The 21408-nt window shown below is 51.1% G+C and overlaps 1 protein-coding gene across 15 annotated transcripts in view, besides 3 other annotated features; it reads left to right on the plus strand.

The window, feature by feature from the left end:
- The window catches only part of ITPA (inosine triphosphatase), a 23385-nt gene that overhangs the window by 849 nt on the left and 1128 nt on the right, over window positions 1–21408 (plus strand). The window contains exons 2-10 of one of the 15 annotated variants that reach the window (XM_047440139.1): window positions 3483–3799; window positions 8256–8313; window positions 8406–8470; window positions 9072–9145; window positions 10368–10399; window positions 13604–13719; window positions 16507–16553; window positions 16928–17004; window positions 18453–18947. In XM_047440139.1, the coding sequence (XP_047296095.1) occupies window positions 3608–3799; window positions 8256–8313; window positions 8406–8470; window positions 9072–9145; window positions 10368–10399; window positions 13604–13719; window positions 16507–16553; window positions 16928–17004; window positions 18453–18634 (843 nt within the window). In that variant the 5' untranslated portion in view covers window positions 3483–3607 and the 3' untranslated portion in view covers window positions 18635–18947. Of the gene's footprint in view, window positions 1–3482; window positions 4121–4584; window positions 4705–8255; window positions 8314–8344; window positions 8471–9071; window positions 9146–10367; window positions 10400–13603; window positions 13720–14024; window positions 14312–16506; window positions 16554–16927; window positions 17005–18452; window positions 18948–21408 lie in introns of those variants that run through there. The other 14 variants (NM_001424408.1, NM_001424409.1, NM_001324237.2 and 11 more) reach the window with 14 other exon arrangements.
- Window positions 4180–4828: an enhancer, noted in NCBI's record as "H3K27ac hESC enhancer chr20:3189739-3190387 (GRCh37/hg19 assembly coordinates)". NCBI's record gives its function as "activates a minimal SCP1, AML or CMV promoter by ChIP-STARR-seq in naive H9 embryonic stem cells {active_cell/tissue: H9 hESC(naive)}" and the evidence as "EXISTENCE:reporter gene assay evidence [ECO:0000049][PMID:30033119]".
- Window positions 4711–4780: an enhancer, noted in NCBI's record as "active region_17477". NCBI's record gives its function as "activates an Ori minimal core promoter by ATAC-STARR-seq in GM12878 lymphoblastoid cells {active_cell/tissue: GM12878}" and the evidence as "EXISTENCE:reporter gene assay evidence [ECO:0000049][PMID:35858748]".
- Window positions 13689–13958: a silencer, noted in NCBI's record as "silent region_12615". NCBI's record gives its function as "represses an Ori minimal core promoter by ATAC-STARR-seq in GM12878 lymphoblastoid cells {active_cell/tissue: GM12878}" and the evidence as "EXISTENCE:reporter gene assay evidence [ECO:0000049][PMID:35858748]".

Consider the following 21408-nt stretch of genomic DNA (forward strand, 5'->3'; position numbering starts at 1 on the left):
GATCTCGGCTCACTGCAACCTCCACCTCCCAGGTTCAAGCGATTCTCCTGCCTCAGACTCCCGAGTAGCTGGGATTACAGGCGCCCGCCACCACGCCCGGCTAATTTTTGTATTTTTAGTAGAGATGGGGGTTTCACCGTGTTGGCCAGGCTGGTCTCGAACTCCTGACCTTGTGATCCACCCACCTTGGCCTCCCAAAGTGCTGGGATTACAGGCGTGAGCCACCGCGCCCGGACTATATATGTTTTAAAAATCACTAAACAATCCCACATAGTGTTTATGGAAACAACCGTGGAAAAAGTACGAAAAGAGGCTTGGGACTGATGCACACCAACTTCAGGATAGCGATTACCTCTAGGAGGAGGGAAGCGGGTTGGGGTTTTGCTGTATCTGTGACACTGAATTTCTTTCTTTCTTTCTTTCTTTTGAGGGGAAGGGGAGGGGAGGGGAGGGCAGTACTGGAATTTATTAAGCTTTTTGTATACATGATAACAGAAGTAAAGATTTATTTCAGGAGCCAGGCACAGAGGCTCGTCTGTTAACCCAATACTTTGGGAAGTCTAGGTAGAGGTGAGCCTAGGAGTTCAAGACCAGCCTGGGCAACATGATGAAACCCTGTCTCTACAAAATACAAAAATTAGCCAGGTGTGGTGGCATGCACCTGTGATTCCAGGTACTTGGGAAGATGAGGTGGGAAGATCACCTGAGCCCAGGGAGGTCGAGGCTGCAGTGAGCCATGATCATGCCAGTGCACTCCAGCCTGGGTGATAGAGTGAGACCCTGTCTCAGAAAATAAAAATAAATAAAAATAAATTCAGGACCAATGAACAATGGTGAGAAAGGGATTTGAAAAAATACGGGCCAGATGAGGTGGCTCTCCCCTGTAATCCTAGCACTTTGGGAGGCCGAGGTGGGCGGATCACTTCAGGTCAAGTGTTCAAAACCAGCCTAGCTGACGTGATGAAATCCTGTCTCTACTAAAAATACAAACAATGAGTGGGGCGTGGTGGCACATGCCTGTAATCCCAGCTACTCGGGAGGCTGAGGCAGGAGAATCACTTGAACCCAGGGGGCGGACGTTGCAGTGAGCCAAGATTGCACCACTGCACACCAGCCTGAGCGACAGAGCAAGACTCTGTCTCAAAAAAAAAAAAAAAAGAAAGAAAGAAAGAAAAAGAAAAAGAAAAAATATGGGCTGGGCGAGGTGGCTCACACCTGTAATCCCAGCACTTTGGGAGGCTGAGGTGGGTGGATCACCTGAACTCAGGAGTTTGAGACCAGCCTGACAAACACAGTGAAACCCTGTCTCTACTAAAAATACAAAATTAGCTTGGCGTGGTGGTGGGTGCCTGTAATCCCAGCTACTTGGGAGGCTGAGGCAGGAGAATCTCTCGAAGCCGGGAGGCAGAGGTTGCAGTGAGCCGAGATCACACTATTGCACTCCAGCCTGGGCAACAGAGTGAGACTCAGTCTCAAAAAAAAAAAAAAAAAAAAAAAAGCTGGGCACCGTGGCTCACGCCTACAATCCCAACCAACACTTTGGGAGGTCGAGGTGGGTGGATCACCTGAGGTCGGGAATTTGAGACCAGCCTGACCAACATGGAGAAACCCCATCTCTACTAAAAATACAAAATTAGCCGGGTGTGGTGGCTCATGCCCATAATCCCAGCACTTCGGGAGGCTGAGGCAGGCGGATCACGAGGTCAGGAGATCAAAACCATCCTGGCTAACACGGTGAAACCCCGTCTCTACTAAAAATACAAAAAAATTAGCCAGGCGTGGTGGTGGGCGCCTGTAGTCCCAGCTACTTGGGAGGCTGAGGCAGGAGAATGGTGGGGACCCGGGAGGCGGAGCTTGCAGTGAGCTGAGATCGCGCCACTGCACTCCAGCCTGGGCGACAGAGTGAGACTGTCTCAAAAAAAAAAAAAAAAGAAGAAGAAAGATACAAAAATTAACCAGGCATGGTGGTGCATGCCTGGAGTCCCAGCTACTCAGGAGGCTGAGGTGGGAGAACTGCTCGAACCCAATATGCAGAGGTTGCAGTGAGCCGGGACCACACCACTGTACTTCAGCCTGGGCAACAGAGCAAGACTCCATCTCAAAAAAAATAAATAAATAAAAGAATGAAAAAGAAAGTTATCTATGGACTTGTAATTATAGATGTCAGTTGTGATCTTTTTGTTTGTTGGTTTTTTGAGACAGGGTCTCACTCACATCACCCAGGCTAGAGTACAGTGGCACTCTTGGCTCACTGCAGCCTCGACTTCCCAGGCTCAGGTGATCCTCCCACCTCAGCCTCCTAAACAGCTGTGACTACAGGTGTGTGCCCCCAAGCCCAACTAATTTTTTGTATTTTTTGTAGAGACTGGGTTTCACCATGTTGTCTAGGCTTGTCTTGAACTCCTGGGATCAAGTGATCCACTGTGCCCAAGCTAGTTATCTTACATTACAGAACACCTACTATGTACCAGGAGCTGGGATTTAAGAATGAGAGGTGAGGCTGGGCACCGTGGCTCAAGCCTGTAATCTCAGCACTTTGGGAGGCTGAGGTGGAGGGATCTCCTGAGGTCAGGAGTTTGAGACCAGCCTGGTCAATATGGTGAAACCCCACCTCTACTAAAAGTACAAAAATTCACTGGGTGTGGTGGTGCATGTCTGTAATCCCAGCTACTCAGGAGGCTGAGGCAGGAGAATCCCTTGAACCCGGGAGTCGGAGGTTGAAGTGAGCCGAGATCGTGCCACTGCACTCAAGCCTGGGCGACAAGAGCAAGACTCCATCTCAAAACAACAACAACAACAACAACAAAACACAGTGGCTGATGCCTGTAATCCCAGCACTTAGGGAGGCCGAGGTGGGCATATCACGACGTCAGGAGTTCGAGACCAGCCTGGCCAACATGGTGAAACCCCGTCTCTACTAAAAATGCAGAAATTAGCTGGGCGTCGTGGGGGGTGCTTGTAGTCCCAGCTACTCAGGAGGCTGAGGCAGGAGAATCGCTTCAACCCAGGAGACAGAGGTTGCAGTGAGCCAAGATCATGCCATTGCACTCCAGGCCAGGTGACTAGAGCAAGACTCCGTCTCAAAAAAAAAAAAAAAAAAGAAAAAGAGAGGTGAGCAAAAACAGATATGGTTTTTACCATTAGGATTTTTAGAAGAGAAAACAGAATCACACAAATGAATATCTATTTGCAGTGCAGAGGTCAGTGCTATGCAAGCAGATGAAAGGGAGCTCAGGGAAGGTTTTCCTGAGCTGGGGCTTGAGCTGGCTAAGATCCAAGAAAGGCATCCATGTAAGGTGGGCTGTTTTTCTTCTTTTCAGGCTCCTCGGGGTAACTGATGTCCCCCAAGCCCTCCTCTGCCCCCAAATCCCCATGGCCACTCCTCTAGGGACTCTGCATAATGGTTAGTGTTTCTACTTCAATAAAAGAAAACAGGTCACCACCCAAAGCAGTGGTTCCCACACATTTTTTTTCTTTTTCAGACGCAGTTTTGCTCTTGTTGCCCAGGCTGGAGTCCGATGGCACGATCTCCGCTCACTGCAACCCCCACCTCCCGAATTCAGGCGATTCTCCTGAATCCTGAATTCTCTGAACTGGGATTACAGGCATGCACCACCATGCCCAGCTAATTTTGTACTTTTTGGTAGAGATGGGGTTTCTCCATGTTGGTCAGGCTGGTTTCAAACTCCTGACCTCGGGTGATCCACTCGCCTCAGCCTCCCAAAGTGCTGGGATTACAGGCGTGAGCCACCGGGCTTTCCCACACTTTGATGAGCATCAGAATGGCCTGAGGAGCTTGGTAAGAACTCAGACTCCCTCCCTTTCTTGTCCATGGGCAGAAGTGGCCATTCAAGAGGTACTGACACAGGGGTCCAGGCGGGGGGCAGAGGGCTGAGTCTCTGGAGGAGGGAGGTCAGATGACTTGCTGCAAAGAGAGTATCAGCAGAGGTTCAGCAGACCCACCTTTGAGAGGGCACTTCCTACTTTCTGTTGTGTTTGGAATGCAAAGATCTGGCTGAAACGGTGGCCACGGAGAAGGGGTGATAGATTTGAGAGGCTGGAGGGATGAGGAAGTGAGGAACTCTACATACTGAGCTCTCAAGCCTAGGAGTGAAAACGGGTGAGAAGTTTGGGCTTGTTTTAGGCTATGCCGAGTTTAAGTTCACAGTCGAGTGGATCATAGCTGGCGGGTAAGGCTGAAGGTGAGATCAGGATGAGGGTTTGGAAGCCCTTGCCTAGAAGGAGGCAGTTTTTTGAGACAGCATAGGAGAGCGCAAACCTCCAGGGTCACAGGGCTGCAGTCTTCTCCTTTCGGAGACCCCATTGCAGAGAAGAGCGAAAGCAGGGGCGGGGTGGGGGTGGGAGTGGTCTCTTCCGGTTCTTGAAGATAGCGTCCCTTAGGCAGGAGGGGTGGGTCACTCAGTCTCCAGGCTCGGGAGGCCCCCAGCAAATCGGACGCTGTGGGCTAGGCCGCCACCGCGAGCCCACTCGCCCGATACGCGCCTTGGGGTCCGGGTCGGCTTTCCCCGGGACCCCTGGCCGGAAACTGAGCCGTTCACTTCCGCCACCAGCCGGAAGTTTTCTGTCACTGGACGCCAAGGAGTTTTCGGTGGCTCAGCTGGGTAACCGGGGATCACCATGGCGGCCTCATTGGTGGGGAAGAAGATCGTGTTTGTAACGGGGAACGCCAAGAAGCTGGAGGAGGTGCCGGGAGGGTGTTGGGGGCTAACTGGGAGGCGGCTGGGAATAGGGCGGAGAAGGGGCTTCCGGGAGGAGGGAAGCACGTGGGAGGAGGCATGGAGAGAGAACAGAATTCAGCCCGGAAGAATGGGTCCTGACCCGGCTGTGTGGAAAAGCTGGGGCGCAAGAAGGGAGTGGCTGCAGAATCGGGGCGCCCCGGGGTTGGCGAGGGAACGAGGGTCTCGACAGATCCCGACACAGGGCTTGTGTGGTCAGCGACTGCGGGACCCGGAGGAGTAGCGGGGCTCTTAACAACCGCCCCGAAGGTCACCTATTGAAGTAGACCCCAACCCAGTGTCCCGACACTCTTCTGGGACTTATCCACATCCCGCTGCTGGGCCAGGGCTAGCAGGACCCAGAGAGGGCGTGGGACGGAGTTCCACACTGAGCAGTCCGTGCCTCACCACCGTCCTGAAATGTTCTAACCTCTTTTCGCGTGTGTGAAATGGGGATGATGCAGGACATTTGCTTCACAGCGCTATAGAGAGGAGGAGTAAAGGAGGCAGTGGATCTAAAGTTTCTGTTTGCAGGGACTTTGTGGCTAGCAAGTAACAGAAACACACAGGGAGCTCATGTAAGCCACCAGATGACTCCTGTGGGAATATAGTGTTATCGTGTCCCACAGGACCTGAAGTTCTCTCAAGAAGCTGACTTGTCCTTGTTCTCTCTGGATGCTGATCCCTATTCCTGTTCATATCTTTCCCCTTTCTTCCCTGCTGGGGGATGGAACAATGAGGCTTCTACCAGATATCAGCTCCGACTGGCTTTGCTTGAATCAAGAGTTTGCCCCTGTTCAATCAGCCATAGCCATGGAGTGGGGGTCATGTGTGGGGGATCAGGATGACACCCACTGGATATGTCTGAGGCAGACCAGTGGGGTGTAATCACTAGGGACACCTACATTTGCCTGTAGTGTAGGGAGGGACTGATGTCACTTTGGTGCCAGGACTGAGTGGCCTTCTCAGGAACCAGAGCCTTTTGCCGAAAAAAGGTTTGGGATCCTGAGGCCAGACCAGTCAGGCAGTCCACCCTGAACAGAGCCCATGCAGGACAGTGGGCATGAGACCCCAAACCTCTGGCTGAGAATATTGCCCTCACTTAAAGAAGGAGCTGGAACCCGAGTGCAGTGCCTCACGCCTGTAATCCCAGCACTTTGGGAGGCTGAGGTGGGCAGAACATCTGAGGTCAGGAGTTCAAGACCAGCCTGGCCAACATCATGAAACTTCATCTCTACTAAAAATACAAAAATTAACTGGGCATGGTGACACGTGCCTGTAGTCCCAGCTACTCGGGAGGCTGAGACAGGAGAATCGCTTGAACCTAGGAAGCGGAGGTTACAGTGAGCTGAGATGACGCCACTGTACTCCAGCCTGGGTAAGAGTTGAGTGACAGAGTGAGACTCTGTCTCAAATAAAAAAAAAAAAAGAAGAAGAAGAAGAAGAAGGCACTAGAGTAGCCAAGGGAGACTCCTTGGAGAACATGGACTTGAACACTTGGCCTAGAACAGGTAGTCTTTTTTTTTTTTTCTTTGAGACAGAGTCTCACTCTGTCGCCCAGGCTGGAGTGCAGTGGTGCGATCTCTGCTGACTGCAACCTCCGCCTCCTGGGTTCAAGCAATTCTCCTGCCTCAGCCTCCCGAGTATCTGGGATTGCAGGCATGTATCACCACGCCTGGTTAATTTTTGTATTTTTAGTAGAAACGGGATTTCGTCATGTTGGCCAGACTGGTCTCTAACCCCTGACCTCAAGTGATCCACCCTCCACCCATTTCGGCCTTTCAAAGTGCTAGAATTACAGGCATGAACCACCTAGCCCAGCTGTGTTTTTGTTTTGTTTTGTTTTGTTTGTTTGTTTGTTTAGACAAAGTCTCACTCTGTTGCCCAGGCTGGAGTGCAGTGGCACGATCTCAGCTCACTGCAACCTCCGCCTCCTGGGTTCAAGCAATCCTCATGCCTCAGCCTTCCTGGTAGCTGGGACTACAGGTGTGTGCCACCACACCTAGCTAATTTTTGTATTTTTAGTGGAGATGGGGTTTCTCCATGTTGGTCAGGCTGGTCTCGAACTCCCGACCTCAGGTGATCCGCCCGCCAGGGCCTCCCGAAGTGTTAGATTACATGCGTGAGCCACCGTGCCTGGCCGAACGGGTAGTCTTAACTAGTGGTATGCCATTGGCAGACTGAGGAAACCTATGGAATCTTTCTCAGGAAAATAGTTTCAAATGTACAAAATAAAATACATGGTATTATAGGCTGGGCACTGTGGTTCATACCTGTAATCCCAGCACTTTGGGAGACTGAGGCTCAAGGAGGATCTCTTGAGCCGAGGAGTTCAAGACCAGCCTGGGCAACAAAGTGAGACCCTAGCTCTACAAATAATTAGCCTAAGCATGGTACCTGGGCCACCTGTGGTTCTAGGTACATGGGAGGAGGATCTCTTGGGCCCAGGAGGTTGAGGCTCTAGTGAGCTGTGTTTGTGCCACTGTACTCCAGCCTGGGTGACAGAGAGAGAGACCCTCTCTCAAAAAAAAATAAAATACATAGGATTACAAAGGAAGTCAACTAAAGTGAAGTACAATTATCAAAATGTTACAAATATTTGTGATTTAGTTATATATACTTTATTAATGCATTAAAGGATTCAATCTACCAATGTATGAGTAATTATCTTAATTTTTTTTTTTTTTTGAGACGGAGTCTCACTCTGTCGCCTAAGGCTGGAGTGCAATGGTGCAATCTTGGCTCACTGTAGCCTCAACCTTCTGTGCTCAAGCAATCCTCCTGCCCCAGCCTCTTGAGTAGCTGGAACTTCAGGCACATGCCACTATGCCCAGCTAATTTTTGTATTTTTTGTAAAGATGGGGTTTTGCCATGTTGCTCAAGCTAGTCTCAAACTTCTGGGCTCAAGCAATCTGCCCACCTTGGCCTCCAAAAGTGCTAAGATTACAGGCGTGAGCCACAGGACCCAGCCCCTTAATTTTAAAATATCAAGATAAATGATATTTTGAGATATCTGCAGCAATTGTAATGAGTTATAACAACATCTGTGATTTTAGTAGGGTTAAAAGTCACAGGCACTGCTAGTAATATTTTGGTTTGTTACCTATATTCATAATTGAAAAAGTTACTACATTTCAATTAAGGGTTACTAAGAATAAAGTTTTTTTTCCCAATCCATGTTCATAGGCCTTCTGAATTCTGGGTATCTTCTGTTAGAGAATTCCTGGTCTAGGAGGATGGCTAGGGTTTCTGGGAGCATTGAGAAGAGAAGAGTGTGTTCTGGATGGGGGCTTAGCACAAGCAGAGACCTGACGTAGAAGAGATAGAGAAGCAAGGAGATGGAAGGGGCTGGCTTGCTGGGGTGGGACCCTGAAAGCCGGGGTGAGGCCCACAGGCCTGAGTTGGTAAGCTTTAGGAGATGGGCAGCAGAGTTATCGATGAGAAAGGCGGATGACAGCTCACGTGCTCACATGGAGAATCACTAGATGGTGATAAGTGTTCTCTTTTCTCTTGGAACAGGTCGTTCAGATTCTAGGAGATAAGTTTCCATGCACTTTGGTGGCACAGAAAATTGACCGTATGTCTCTGTTTTGTTTTATTTTTAAAAGATGGTTGGATTTCTCTGTCTTCCTGTGACCTGACTTTCTGTGTGTCTGTTTCCCTGATAAGTGCCGGAGTACCAGGGGGAGCCGGATGAGATTTCCATACAGAAATGTCAGGAGGCAGTTCGCCAGGTGCTTGCCCTGCCCTTGTCCCACACTTGCTCTTCTTGTCCAGGTAGCTTCCAGGGCCTGCGCCTGCTAGAAACAATAGAGTAGACACAGTTTGTTGAGCTTTCTAGGACCGGCCCAGAGTCCTCTAGGGTTCAGTTAATATTGGCTTTGGAACACTGCCTTCCTTTGCCAGCCTTGAATACATGGTATCTCCCCCAGACCACCACCATACACTCCCACGTACACACAGACTCCCCTTCCCCCAAATGCTCAGACAATGGATTCCAGCCCTACATCCTCCCCACACACATCCACCGCTGCATTCACACATGTTCGTGGAACTGAGAAAGCACGCTGCGGAGAGTCAGGCTGAGTGTGAATCCCAGCTCTCCCATTGCTGTGCCTGGAGCAAGCTTTAACAATCGGCCAAAGCTTGGTGTCCTCATAAGATAAGAGATTGGCCAAAGTTAAGAGATTGGCCGAGGGCAGCTCCCATGGTGCTGTCTGCCACAGATCTCAGCTAGCTGAGGGCTGGCCCCAGCCTGGGTGACGCGGGTGACCTGGACGTTCCAGGTGGGGATGGTGATCATGGGTCTCAGGGCTGTATGTCTTTGTGCTGCAGGTACAGGGGCCCGTGCTGGTTGAGGACACTTGTCTGTGCTTCAATGCCCTTGGAGGGCTCCCCGGCCCCTACATGTGAGTGACTACCTCCACCCCCTTACAGGGCGTCAGGCCCAAAACCACCAGAACTGCAAAATGATGAGGTACCTGATACTGCAGGTCATTCCCTGTCTTAGCATCAACAGCCTTTCACGTTGTCCCGAGGAAAGACGGGATAGGAGAAGCATGCCTTTCTTTTGTAAAGTGTGAGAATGCGACCTGTAAGTGGAGATGGTAAAGGGGACCCCACGCATTTGAGAAGTACATTCATAGGTAGATTAATTTCAGGAAAGAGAAAACAAGGAAGTTGGAATCTAAAACTTGATTTCTTTCTTCCTTTCTTTTTTTTTTTTTTTTTTTTGATACAGTCTCTCTCTGTTACCCAGACGGCTGGAGTGCAGTGGCATGATCATAGCTCACTGCAGTCTCCACCTGCCAGGCTCAGGTGATCTTCCCACCTCAGCCTCCTGGGTAACTGGGACTACAGGTGTGCGTCACCACACCCAGCTAATTTTTTGTATTTATTTATTTATTTTTAATTTTTTAATTATTTTATTTTATTTTATTTTATTTTGAGACAAGAGTCTCGCTCTGTCGCCCAGGCTGGAGTGCAGTGGCGCGATCTCCGCTAACTGCAAGCTCTGCCTCCCGGGTTCACGCCATTCTCCTGTCTCAGCCTCCCGAGTAGCTGGGACTACAGGCGCCCACCACCACACCTGGCTAATTTTTTGTATTTTTAGTAGAGACGGGGTTTCACCATGTTAGCCAGGATCGTCTCCATCTCCTGACCTCGTGATCTGCCCTTCTTGGCCTCCCAAAGTGCTGGGATTAGAGGCATGAGCCACCGCGCCCGGCCTGTATTTATTTATTTTTGGTGTGTGAGACAGGGTCTCAGTCTGTCGCTGAGGTAGGAGTGCAGTGGTGTGATCACAGCTCACTCCCTGGGCTCAAGCTATCCACCTGCCTCAGCCTCCCAAGTAGCTGGGACTGCAGGCACATGCCTAGCCAGTTTTTTTGCATTTTTTGTAGAGATAGGATTTTGCTACGTTGTCCAAGCTTTTCTCAAACTCCTGAGCTCAAGCGATCCGCCTGCCTTAGCCTCCCAAAGTGCTGGGATTATAGGCGGGACCCACCTCGCCTGGCTCTTGGAGGCATTCTTTTTCATTTCCCCTTGGCTGTCAATAGGGAACAGCCTGGAAAAGGTGGTAAGAAGATCCAGCTGCTCCTGGTGTCTGACTGTCCTTTCTTTCTCTTGCAGAAAGTGGTTTCTGGAGAAGTTAAAGCCTGAAGGTATTATCTGCTTTGTTTCTTCCCTGGATCTGTTGGGAATGAGAATCTGGGCTTTGTCTAGGGGAGGGACCCCAACTAGTAATCAGGAGTCCCAGGTTCTAGCCCCCACCATGGAGCCTCCACCTCATTTTCCCCATCTAGCACCTGCAGCTCGTACCCTGTACTCCAGAGAGCACTGTGTGGGGGAGGGATGATGGGAGCTGCAGGGTTGAGGAACAAAGGGGCTGTACTTAATTCTGGGTTTCAAGAGGAACTTGGCCCTTGTGACTGCCTTAGCCAGGGCCTGCCCTGGGAGTTGGAGGACTGCCCCTCCTGGACCCCAGCAGTGCATATCCTGTCACCCACAGTTGCAAGCCAAAATGTCCCCTCTTTATGTGCTTTTATTTATTTAGAGACAGGGTCTCACTCTGTTGCCCAGGCTGGAGTACACCGGTGTGATCTCGACTCACTGCAACCTCTGCCTCTTGGGTTCAAGCGATTCTCCTGCCTTAGCCTTCCAAGTAGCTGGGATTACAGGCGCCCACCACCACGCCCTGCTAATTTTTGTATTTTTAGTAGAGAGGGGGTTTCACCATGTTGGCCAGGCCAGTCTCGAACACCTGACCTCAAGTGATCCGCCTACCTTGGCCTCCCAGAGTGCTGGGATTACAGATGTGAGTCACAACACCCAGCCTATTTGTTTACTTATTTATATTTTTGAGATGGAGTCTCACTGTCGCCCAGGCTGGGGTGCAGTGCGTCAATCTCGGCTCACTGCAACCTCTGCCTCCCTGGTTCAAGCGATCCTCCTGCCTCAGCCTCCCAAGCAACTGGGATTACAGGCATGCGCCAGCACGCTGGCTAAGTTTTTTTTTTTTTTTTTTTTGAGACAAAGTCTTGCTCTGTCGCCCAGGCTGGAGTGCAGTGGCATGATCTCGGCTCACTCCAACCTCCACTTCCCGGATTCAAGCGATTCTCCTGCCTCAGCCTCCTGAGTAGCTGGGACTACAGGCACGTGCCACCATGCCCAGCTAATTTTTGTATTTTTAGTAGCGTTGGGATTTCACCATGTAGGCCAGGATGGTCTCAATCTTCTGACCTCGTGATCTGCCTGCCTCGGCCTCCCAAAGTGCTGGGATTACAGGTGTGAGTTACCATGCCTGGCCTTTTTTTTTTTTTTGTGACAAGTTTCACTCTTGTTGCCCAGGCTGGAGCGCAATGGCACGATCTCGGCTCACTACAACCTCCGCCTCCCGGGTTCAAGTGATTCTCCTGCCTCAGCCTCCCTAGTAGCTGGGATTACAGGCACCTGCCACCATGACCAGCTAATTTTTTGTATTTTTTGTAGAGGGGTTTCACTATATTGGCCAGGCTGGTCTCGAACTCCTGACCTCAGGCGATCCACCCATCGCAGCCTCCCAAAGTGCTGGGTTTACAGGCGTGATCCACTGAGCCCGGCTTAATTTTTGTATTTTTAGTAGACACGGAGTTTCGCCATGTTGGCCAGGCTAGTTTCAAACACCTGACCTCAGGTGGTCCCACCTCGGCCTCCCAAAGTGCTGGGATTACGGGCATGAGCCACCACTCCCAGCCTATTTTATTTTTTTGAGACAGAACCTCACTCCATCGCCCAGGCTAGAGTGCAGTGGTGTGATCTTGGCTCACTGCAACCTCTGCCTCCTGAGTTCAAGTGATTCTCCTGCCTCAGCCTCCCAAGTAGCTGGGATTACAGGTGCCCACCACCACGCCTAGCTAATTTTTGTATTTTTAGTAGAGACAGGGTTTCACCACGTTGGCCATGCTGATCTCGAATTCCTAACCTCAGGTGATCCACCCACCTCGGCCTTCCAAAATGCTGAGATTACAGGCATGAGTTACCGCACCCATCCTTATGTGCTTTTAAAAACACTTTACATTATAGAGCATTTCAAACCTGCATAGTAGAATATCATAATAGGATAATGGGCATAAATATATACAGTTATTATTTGTCAATTAAAAAAAGCATAGTAGAATAATGAACCTCAGTTGCCATCAACCAGCTTCCAGGGTTATCAGCACGAGGCCTATTTTGTGACATCTGTAACCCCCCTTATTTTTCCTCAGTCCAGTATTTTAAGGCAAATCACAGACATCATATCATCAGTAAGTTCTTCAGCTTGTATTTATTTTTATTTTTATTTGTTTTAATTTTTTTTGGAGACAAGGGTCTCCCTGTGTTGCCCAGGCTGGAGTGCAGTGGCTCAATCTCGGCTCACTGCCCACCATCAGGGCTCAAGCCATCCTCCCACCTTAGCCTCCTGAGGAGCTGGGACTACAGGTGTAAGCCACCATGCCTAGCTAATTTTTGTGTTTTTTGTAGAGGTGAGGTCTTGCTATGTTGCTGGGGCTGATATCAAACTCCTGAGCTCAAGCAACCCACCCGCCTTGGCCTCCCAAAGTGTTGGGATTACAGGTATGAGCCACCGAGTGCAGCCACTGTATTTCTAAAAGGTGAAAAATTTAAAAACTGTTAAACAAGTAAACTATAATCATTTTAAAATACTACATAATCATTTTTTGGATTTCCTTGGTTGTAGAAAAAGTGCCTATTACAGTTGGTTAGTTTTTGTGGGTTTTTTTTTGTTTTTGTTTTTTCTTTCCTGAGATGGAGTCTCGCTCTGTCGCCCAGGCTGGAGTGCAGTGGCCCGATCTCGGCTCACTGCAAGCTCCGCCTCCCTTGTTCACACCATTCTCCTGCCTCAGCCTCCCGAGCAGCTGGAGCTACAGGCATCAGCCACCACGCCCGGCTAATTTTTTTGTATTTTTAGTAGAGACGGGGTTTCACCGTGTTAGCCAGGATGGTCTCGATCTCCTGACCTCATAATCTGCCCGACCCGGCCTCCCAAAGTGCTGGGATTACTGGCATGAGCCACCACGCCCGGCCTACAGTTGGTTAGTTTTGAATCAGGAAATCAAACAAGGTCCACACTGCATTGGCTAGTTTTCTGACTTTAAATAAAGCCTTGTATCGTCAGCCTGTGCCAGAGGGAAGCGAGAATGCCCAGAGACTTCCATTTCAAGCCTAGTCCCACTGCCTTGGGCTCTGCCGCCCCCGCTACCCCAATTGAGACCTAATTTCCCCTTTTAGGGAATTCCTCCCTCCCCACCCTTAGTGGGCGTCTTGGGAGTGGGGGTGGGAGTTGGCCATTAGGGATGCACTGAGCCCTCACTGCCCACCCGCAGGTCTCCACCAGCTCCTGGCCGGGTTCGAGGACAAGTCAGCCTATGCGCTCTGCACGTTTGCACTCAGCACCGGGGACCCAAGCCAGCCCGTGCGCCTGTTCAGGGGCCGGACCTCGGTGCGTACCCACCTTGATGCAGTTCCCGCCGCGCGCCGCCAGGGGGTGCCGCGACCCGAGCCGACCGCCCCGAGTCTGCGGGAGGGTGGTGGGAGGGGCGCCTTGGGGCCAGAGATATCTGTGCCTTGCTGAGAGGCTCCCCTGCGCAGCATAGGTAGAAGTGCTGTGGATCCTAGGAGGGTGGTGGAAAGGGTTCCCTGGGGCCAGAGTAGTTGCCTACGCCTTGCTGAGGGGTGCCCCTGGGCAGGACAATGGAAGTGTTGTCAATTCTGAAACCTGTTTGACCCCTGAGGCTGTTGTTTCAGGGAAACAGTTGGCTAACAGCTCCTGAGGCCTGATAGACCCAGAAGTGCAAACTGAAGGTGACAATTCCCAAAGCTATTTTTTTCTGTTTATTTTATTTATTTATTTATTTTTTGTTAGTGAGAAACCACACTTGGATCAAAGCTACATCTATAGCCCAGACTTCTCTAACCTCAGATTTCCTTATTCAACTGCCAAGGTGCTTGACTATCTCTCAGCCTTTCCAGCTTTTCATGTTTATGTATAATAGAATCTTAATTCTTTTTTTTTTTTTTTTTTTTTTTTTTTTGAGACAAAGTCTTGCTGTGTTGCCCAGGCTGGAGTGCAGTGGTGTCGTCTCGGCTCACTGCAACCTCCGCCTCCAGGGTTCAAGCATAGAATGTTAATTCTTGGCCAGGTTTGGTGATTTACACCTGTAATCCTAGCACTTTGCGAGGCCCCAGCGGGAGGCTTTCTTGAGCCCAGGTGTTCAAGATCAGCCTGGACACCATAACAAGACCCCATCTTTGCAAAAAATTTTAAAATGAGGCCGGGCGTGATGGCTCACATCTGTAATCCCAGCACTTTGGGAGGCTGAGGCGGGCGGATCACCTGAGGTCAGGAGTTCAAGAACAGCCTGGATAACACAGCAAAACCCCGTCTCAACTAAAAATACAAAAAATATCTGGGCATGGTGGCAGGCACCTGTAATCCCAGCTACTGGGGAGGCTGAGGCAGGAGAATCACTTGAACCCAGGAGGCGGAGGTTGCAGTGAGCTGAGATCTCGCCACTGCACTCCAGCCTGGGCAACAAGAGTGAGACTCCGTCTCCAAAAAAAAAAAAAAAAGAGGCTGAGCACAGAGGCTCACACATGTAATCCCAGCACTTTGTGAAGCAAAGGCAGGAGGATTGCTTGAGGCCAGGAGTTTGAGACCAGCCTGGGTAACATAGCCAGACCCTGTCTCAAAAATAAATAAATAGCCGGACATGGTGGTGCACACCTGTAGTCCTAGCTACTTGGGAGGCTGAGGTGGGAGGATCACCTGAGCCTCGGAGTTTGACGGGACAGTGAGCTATGATCGCACTCCTGCACTCCAGCCATGGAGTGACGGAGTGAGACCCAGTCTCAAAAAAAAAAAAAAAAAAACAAACCTTAATTATTTGCCCAAACTTATTCCTTCCGTGAGATGTATTCAACACCCCCTACTGCCTATCACTGCTCACGACAGCCTCCACCTCCCAGGCTCAGGTGATCTCCCACCCTGGAGAGTAACTGGGACTACAGGCGTGCACCACCACACCCGGCTAATTTTTGTATTTTTGGTAGAGACAGGGTTTCACTATGTTGCCCAGGCTGGTCTTGAACTCCCGACCTTAAGTGATCCGCTGGCCTCATTCTCCCAAAGTGCAACCTCCATCTCCTGGGTTCAAGCAATTCTCCTGCCTCAGCCTGCCGAGTAGCTGGGATTATAGGCGTGAGCAAAAAACATTTGTTGCGTGGTTGAGGTTCAGTAACTGGCCTTAGTCACGCAGCTCCTCACGGCAGAAGCAGAATTTGCCTTTGGGTCTAAATTACTTGGCATCTATGTGACTAATCCCAATCATGTACCACCTCCGTTGTATTTTTTAAAGAGTAAAAAAAAATGTTTTTGAGACAGGGTCTTGCTTTGTCACCCAGGCTGGAGTGTAGTGGCATGACTACCGTTCATAGCAGCCTTGATCTCTCAGGCTCAAGTCATCCTCCCACCTCAGCCTTCCGAGTAGCTAGGACCTCAGGTGTGAGCTACCACATCTGGCTAATTAAAAAAAAAAAAAAAATTGGTAGAGATAGAGTCTGACTGTGTTGCCCAGACTGGTCTCGAACTCCTGGGTTTAAACCATCCTCCCTCCTCGGCCTCCCCAAGCGCTGAGATTACAGGCGTGAGCTACCACACCTGGTCCCTTGTATTTTTTTCAGTTAGAATCTTTTGGGTTTTTTTGTTTGTTTTTTGGAGTGTTTGTTTGTTTGTTTGGAGTGTTTGTCTCTGTCTGTCGCCCGGACTGGATCACAGCTCACTGCAGCCTCGACCTCTTGGGCTCAAGCAGTCTTCCCACCAGGTAGCTGGGACTACAGGCTTACACCACCAGGCTAGGCTAATTTTTGTATTTTTTGTAGAGATGGGGTTTCGCCTTTGCCACGTGGCTCAGGCTGGTCTCAATTTCCTGGGCTCAAGTGATCTTCCCACCTCAGCCTCCCAAAGTCCTGGGATTACAGGCATGAGCCACCGCGCCTGGCCAGATTTTCTTTTTCTTTTCTTTCTTTTTTTTTTTTACTTTGATAACAACATGACATTTCATGTCACTGGATTACAATTTGTTCTTTTTCTAACATTTTCACTGTGGAATTTCCCTACTACAGCCAGTACGTATTGTACTCACTAATGTGTTCATGAAGTGGGGAGTTGGGTACCTGCTTCCTGTTGCGGTGTTTCATCTTATTGTTAAAGTCTTCCTTGTATTTTCAGGAACGCTGTCATAGTAGCCGGCATCTGGCTTGTCCACGGAGTTCAGGGTACTTAGCTTCCTATTAGGAGAAAACGTTTTCTGTCTATCTTTCTTTCTGTCTATCTTTCAAAGTAGCCTCATTGTTCTTCAGTGATGTCCCAATTTGTCCCGGGTGTGGCTGGCGAGGGCGCGTGGCCCCGGAGGTGCTGGTGGTCCTGTGGGTCCATGCCTCCTCCCTGTGTGTGAGGGAAGAGCTGCCCCGCTCTGCTTTTTATTGTATTCAGCAAACATTTGCAGGTGCTGTAGGGGCCTTGCAACTACATTTTGCGTAAGTTGGGTCAAATCAAATTCACAGACTCACCAAACTCATACTGGCCACTGCCCTCCTCGTGCTTGTCCTCTGGACCCAGTTACACACCTGTCCCCCCTTTCCTGTGGCAGGGCCGGATCGTGGCACCCAGAGGCTGCCAGGACTTTGGCTGGGACCCCTGCTTTCAGCCTGATGGATATGAGCAGACGTAAGGAGCCCTGCTTTTCTTCCCTGGGGTGTGGGGTTGGTACAGCCATGGTTTGGGTTGGGCCAGTGCCCCGCCCAAGTGCAGGCATGCGGATATGGGCAGGGGAGGCTCCCAGGGTGCTGTTCCAGCCACAGGCAGCTCTGCTGGGGTGGACACTAGGAATCTGGGTGGCCCAGTCCATGGTTGGGGAGGCAGCCAGATGGCACTGAGAGTCCTGGGCTCTAAGGCTCCAGGTCACCCCACATCAGCTGTGTAGCCAGTGGTTTCGCCTTTCTGGCCTTGGCTTGTAAGCTGTACATCTGACTTTTTTTTTTTTTTTTTTGAGATGGAGTTTCACTCTTGTTGCCCAGGCTGGAGTGCAACGGCGTGATCTCAACTCACTGCACCCTCTGCCTCCCAGGTTCAAGCAATTCTCCTGTCTCAGCTGAGATTACAGGCACGCACCACCGTGCTCAGCTAATTTTTGTTATTTTTGTTAGAGACGGGGTTTCACCATGTTGGCCAGGCTGGTCTCAAACTGACCTCAGGTGATCCGCCCACCTCGGCCTCCCAAAGTGCTGGGATTACAGGCGTGAGCCACCGCGCCTGGCCACATCTGACAGTTTTATGGCATCATTTTCTGACCCCCATCTAGGTTGGGAAAATGTCCAGGCTTTTGCAGCCTCTGGTGGGCACTATTTTATGCCCTCCAAGTACCAGTTGTTCTCTGTAGTTCGCACAAATCGCCCCTTGTTCACACAAGGCACGGGCCATTGTTGGAATCAGGCTTTCCAAGCTGGAGGGGCCCTTAGGGAGCGCAGTGTGAGGCCCCACAATAGCCCCAGCAGGGGTGAGGACATTGTGGAACCAGCCACTAGCCATATGGGGCTGTGGAGCACTTGCGTGTGGTGAGACCCAGAAACGGAATATTTCTGTTCAGCGTTAATTCATTTAAATAGCCACACCTGGCTAGTGGCTACTGGCCGCCGTCTTGCACAGAGCAGTCTGCAGGCCACGGGCGGGGTATGGGATTCTCACCTCACTGCGGTGCTGGCATGGAGGTCGGGCCCCTGGCCAGCTGTTCAAGTGCTCCCCCGCCCTCAGCGCATGAGAGGAGACTGCTGTGTTTGCTCTGTCAGGCCCCACTGCTTCCTGTCAACAGATGACAAAGCTGATCAAACATGCAGCTCATCCCCCCCTGTCCCCAGCTTCCCTTAATGACTTTTGGGCACACTAGAGCAAGTTTAATACCCCTCCATGCTCATTCATGGGGGTTTCTGCCTACAGGGGAATTGAAAACTTTATCCGATTTTTAAAAATTCACTGGCTGCCAGGAGCTGCTGGGCCCCACTCCCCTTTCCTTGGGGTCTGTGAGCTTTGGTCTCCAGGGATGAGATGAGGTAGGGTTGGGAGGGGGTGCACTTCCTTCCTGAATCTGGGCTCCCTGAGCTGCTACTGTCACCCCTCAGGTACGCAGAGATGCCTAAGGCGGAGAAGAACGCTGTCTCCCATCGCTTCCGGGCCCTGCTGGAGCTGCAGGAGTACTTTGGCAGTTTGGCAGCTTGACTTCTGCAGCTGGAGGAGGCCCCTCAGGCCGGGGATCTGGGGAGGGCTAGCCCAAAACCTCCCGCATCGGGCAGGCACCCCCTGAAGTACTTCCTTCAGGGTTTCCCCTTTGTGAGGGTGTCGAGTAGCCTCACCGGCCTGTCTGGAGGAGCAGCTGGCTCTGCTCTGAGAAACTCTGGCAAGTGGACGCCATTCTCTTGCCCTTAGGATTCACTGCTCTCTCCTACAGCCGCCAGGCCTGGGGTCCTGAAAGGACCTTGGGTGGTAAAGCTGTACTTGGTGGGAGTGAGGGCGTGGGGAGGAACCATGCAAATCGCCTTCCATGGTTTTTAAATGCAGTAAATAACATTTCTGGATGAGACTTGTTTCCAAAATAAACCAGCTATATCTGTTTTGAACCCTGCCCCAGGCAGGTGTCTGTCTCAGTCTCCTTTGGCAGGTGCAGGAAGTTTTTTGGGTGGGGGTGGGGATGGGGACACGGGCAGCACCGTGTGGAAGGCATTCGGATGCCACTGTGAGCTGGAGTGTTACGTCTCCACTCGAGTTCTTGCCTCATTCAATGGCATGGATTGCGGGCTGACCTCCACCCTGGATCCATGCTGCCCCCCACCCGCAGGTAGTGCCAGGGCCTCCATGAAGCCTTGCTGGGTTGGGGGCTGGGTAGTGTGGCACGCCCAGTGCTTTTGCCTTATGCTGTTACACATCAGAGCCGCGAAAATGTTGGTTTACAATTACAATGGCCAGTTCATTTTTATGGTGGGGAGGGGCTGGAGTCCTCGACCCCACTCGGCGTGATCGCCACAGTTCAGCCTGCGGGCTGCAGGCCCCTCGGGAGGCCCTGCTTATGCCACACGCCCTTACTCTGTGCCCTGGCGAAGCCATTCCCTGGAAGGGACCTCTCCAGGTGGCTCCGTTGTCAGAGTGCTCAACCCCAAGGATATTCAAGGGGGGCGTGATGGGCTCAGGCTGGTGGGGCACCCCCAGGCTTGCTTCTGTGCCCACAGGCAGCTCTGGAGAGGCCCCTGCCGTCCCTGTGACTCCATCCAGCAGGACGGCCCTGGGTGAGGACAGAGTGTCATTCCTTCACTCCCCTCTTGCCTGCAAGCCCCGGCTGGGTTAAATCCCCAGGAGGTGCTGCGTCCCTGCCCAGCCTCCTGAGCCTCCTTGTGGGTGGGAGATGTCTGGCTGGGCCTCAGACATGGGGTGCTGGGGGCCTGCCTGCTCCTTGCCAGTTGATCATGGATGTAGCCCCCCTGTGCAGGGAACACCCAGGCTACTGATGGGGGACTCCAAAGAAGAATCACATGCTGCCTGGGTGGGGTGGGTACATAGGCTTGGGGCAGGGCACCTCTCTGTGTTTCCTGTTCAGCTCCTCCAGAATTTTGTCCTGGGTGCACACAACACTTTCTGGCCATTTTTTTTACTTTAGCTACCTGTGATACTGTGAAGTATATATCTGGTTCCAGGCAAGGTGGCTCACACCTGTAATCCCAGCACTTTGGAAGGCCAAGGTGGGAGGATCGCTTGAGCCCAGGACTTCATAACCAGCCTGTGCAACATGGCAAAACCTTGTCTCTGCAAAAATACAAATATTTGCTGGGCATGGTGGTGCGTGCCTGTGGACACAGCTACTCAGGATTCCGAGGTGGGAGGATCCCGAGCCTAGGGAAATGGAGGCTGCAGTGAGCCGTGATTGCGCCACTGCACTCCAGCCTGGGCAACAGTGTGAGACCCTGTCTCATTAAAAAAAACATGTGTATTTGGTCTTTGACCCCTTTCCTAGCAAACAACTTTAAAATCCTCAGAAACTCCACACTGATGTCTTTTTGTGTGCTAATGAGGTGGCTGGCAGCATCTAGGTAGCTTGGTTATGGAAAGACCAAGACAGGACTAGAGGACTGGGACTTTCGGTCTCCACCCCCCGCCACACCTCCAGGGAGGGGCAGGGCTGAAGGTTCAGTTGATAACCAGTGGCCAGTGGTTTATTCAATCATGCCTGCATAATGAGACCTCCATAAAAACCCAAAAGGCCAGGGTTTGGGGAGCTTCTGAATAGCCGACCATGTGGGGGTTCCTGGAGGGTGACACCCCGGGGAGGGCACACAAGCTCTGTGCCCCTTCCCCCACACCTCGCCCCGTGCATCTCTTCATCTGAATTCTCCGTAATAGCCTTTTTAGTAAGCCAGTAGGGTGGGGCTGAGGCCCTGGGCCCATTCAGCTCTTATTCATCACTGGGAACTCCATCAATGCCCAACCCTTAAAAAATAAAAAAATAAAAAATTTAGGCTGGGCTTGGTGGCTCATGCCTGTAATCCCAGCACTTTGGGAGGCCAAGGCAGGCAGATCACTTGAGGTCAGGAGTTCAAGACCAGCCTGGCCAACATGGTGAAACCCCGTCTCTACTAAAAATACAAAAATTAGCCAGGCATAGTGGCAGGCACCTATAATCCCAGCTATTTGGGAGGCTGGGGCATGAGAATCGCTTGAGCCCAGGAGGCGGAGGTTGCAGTGAGCCGAGATCACGCCCTTGCACACTGAGAGTGAGACGCTGTCTCAACAACAACAAAATTATTAAAACCTGCTAAATATAAGTAAATGTTTCCCTGACTTGTGAACCACTCTAGCAAATTAATTGAACCTAAAAGAGGAGTCGTGGGAACCCCAAGTTGAAGACAGTGTGTCAAGTTCTGCAGGCCCAGACCTCAGACTGGTGGGAAGTTAGGGGTGGTCTCGTGGGACTGAGCCCTCAACTTGGGGTTTCTGAAGCTACCTCCTGGCAGGCAGCAGTTAGGTTGAATTGAATTGAATTGGTGGGCACCCAGCAGCTGTCCCGTGACAAATCCCTCGCGTGGTCACAGA

Source organism: Homo sapiens, chromosome 20 (genome assembly GCF_000001405.40).
Source record: "Homo sapiens chromosome 20, GRCh38.p14 Primary Assembly".
Taxonomy (NCBI): Eukaryota; Metazoa; Chordata; class Mammalia; order Primates; family Hominidae; genus Homo; species Homo sapiens.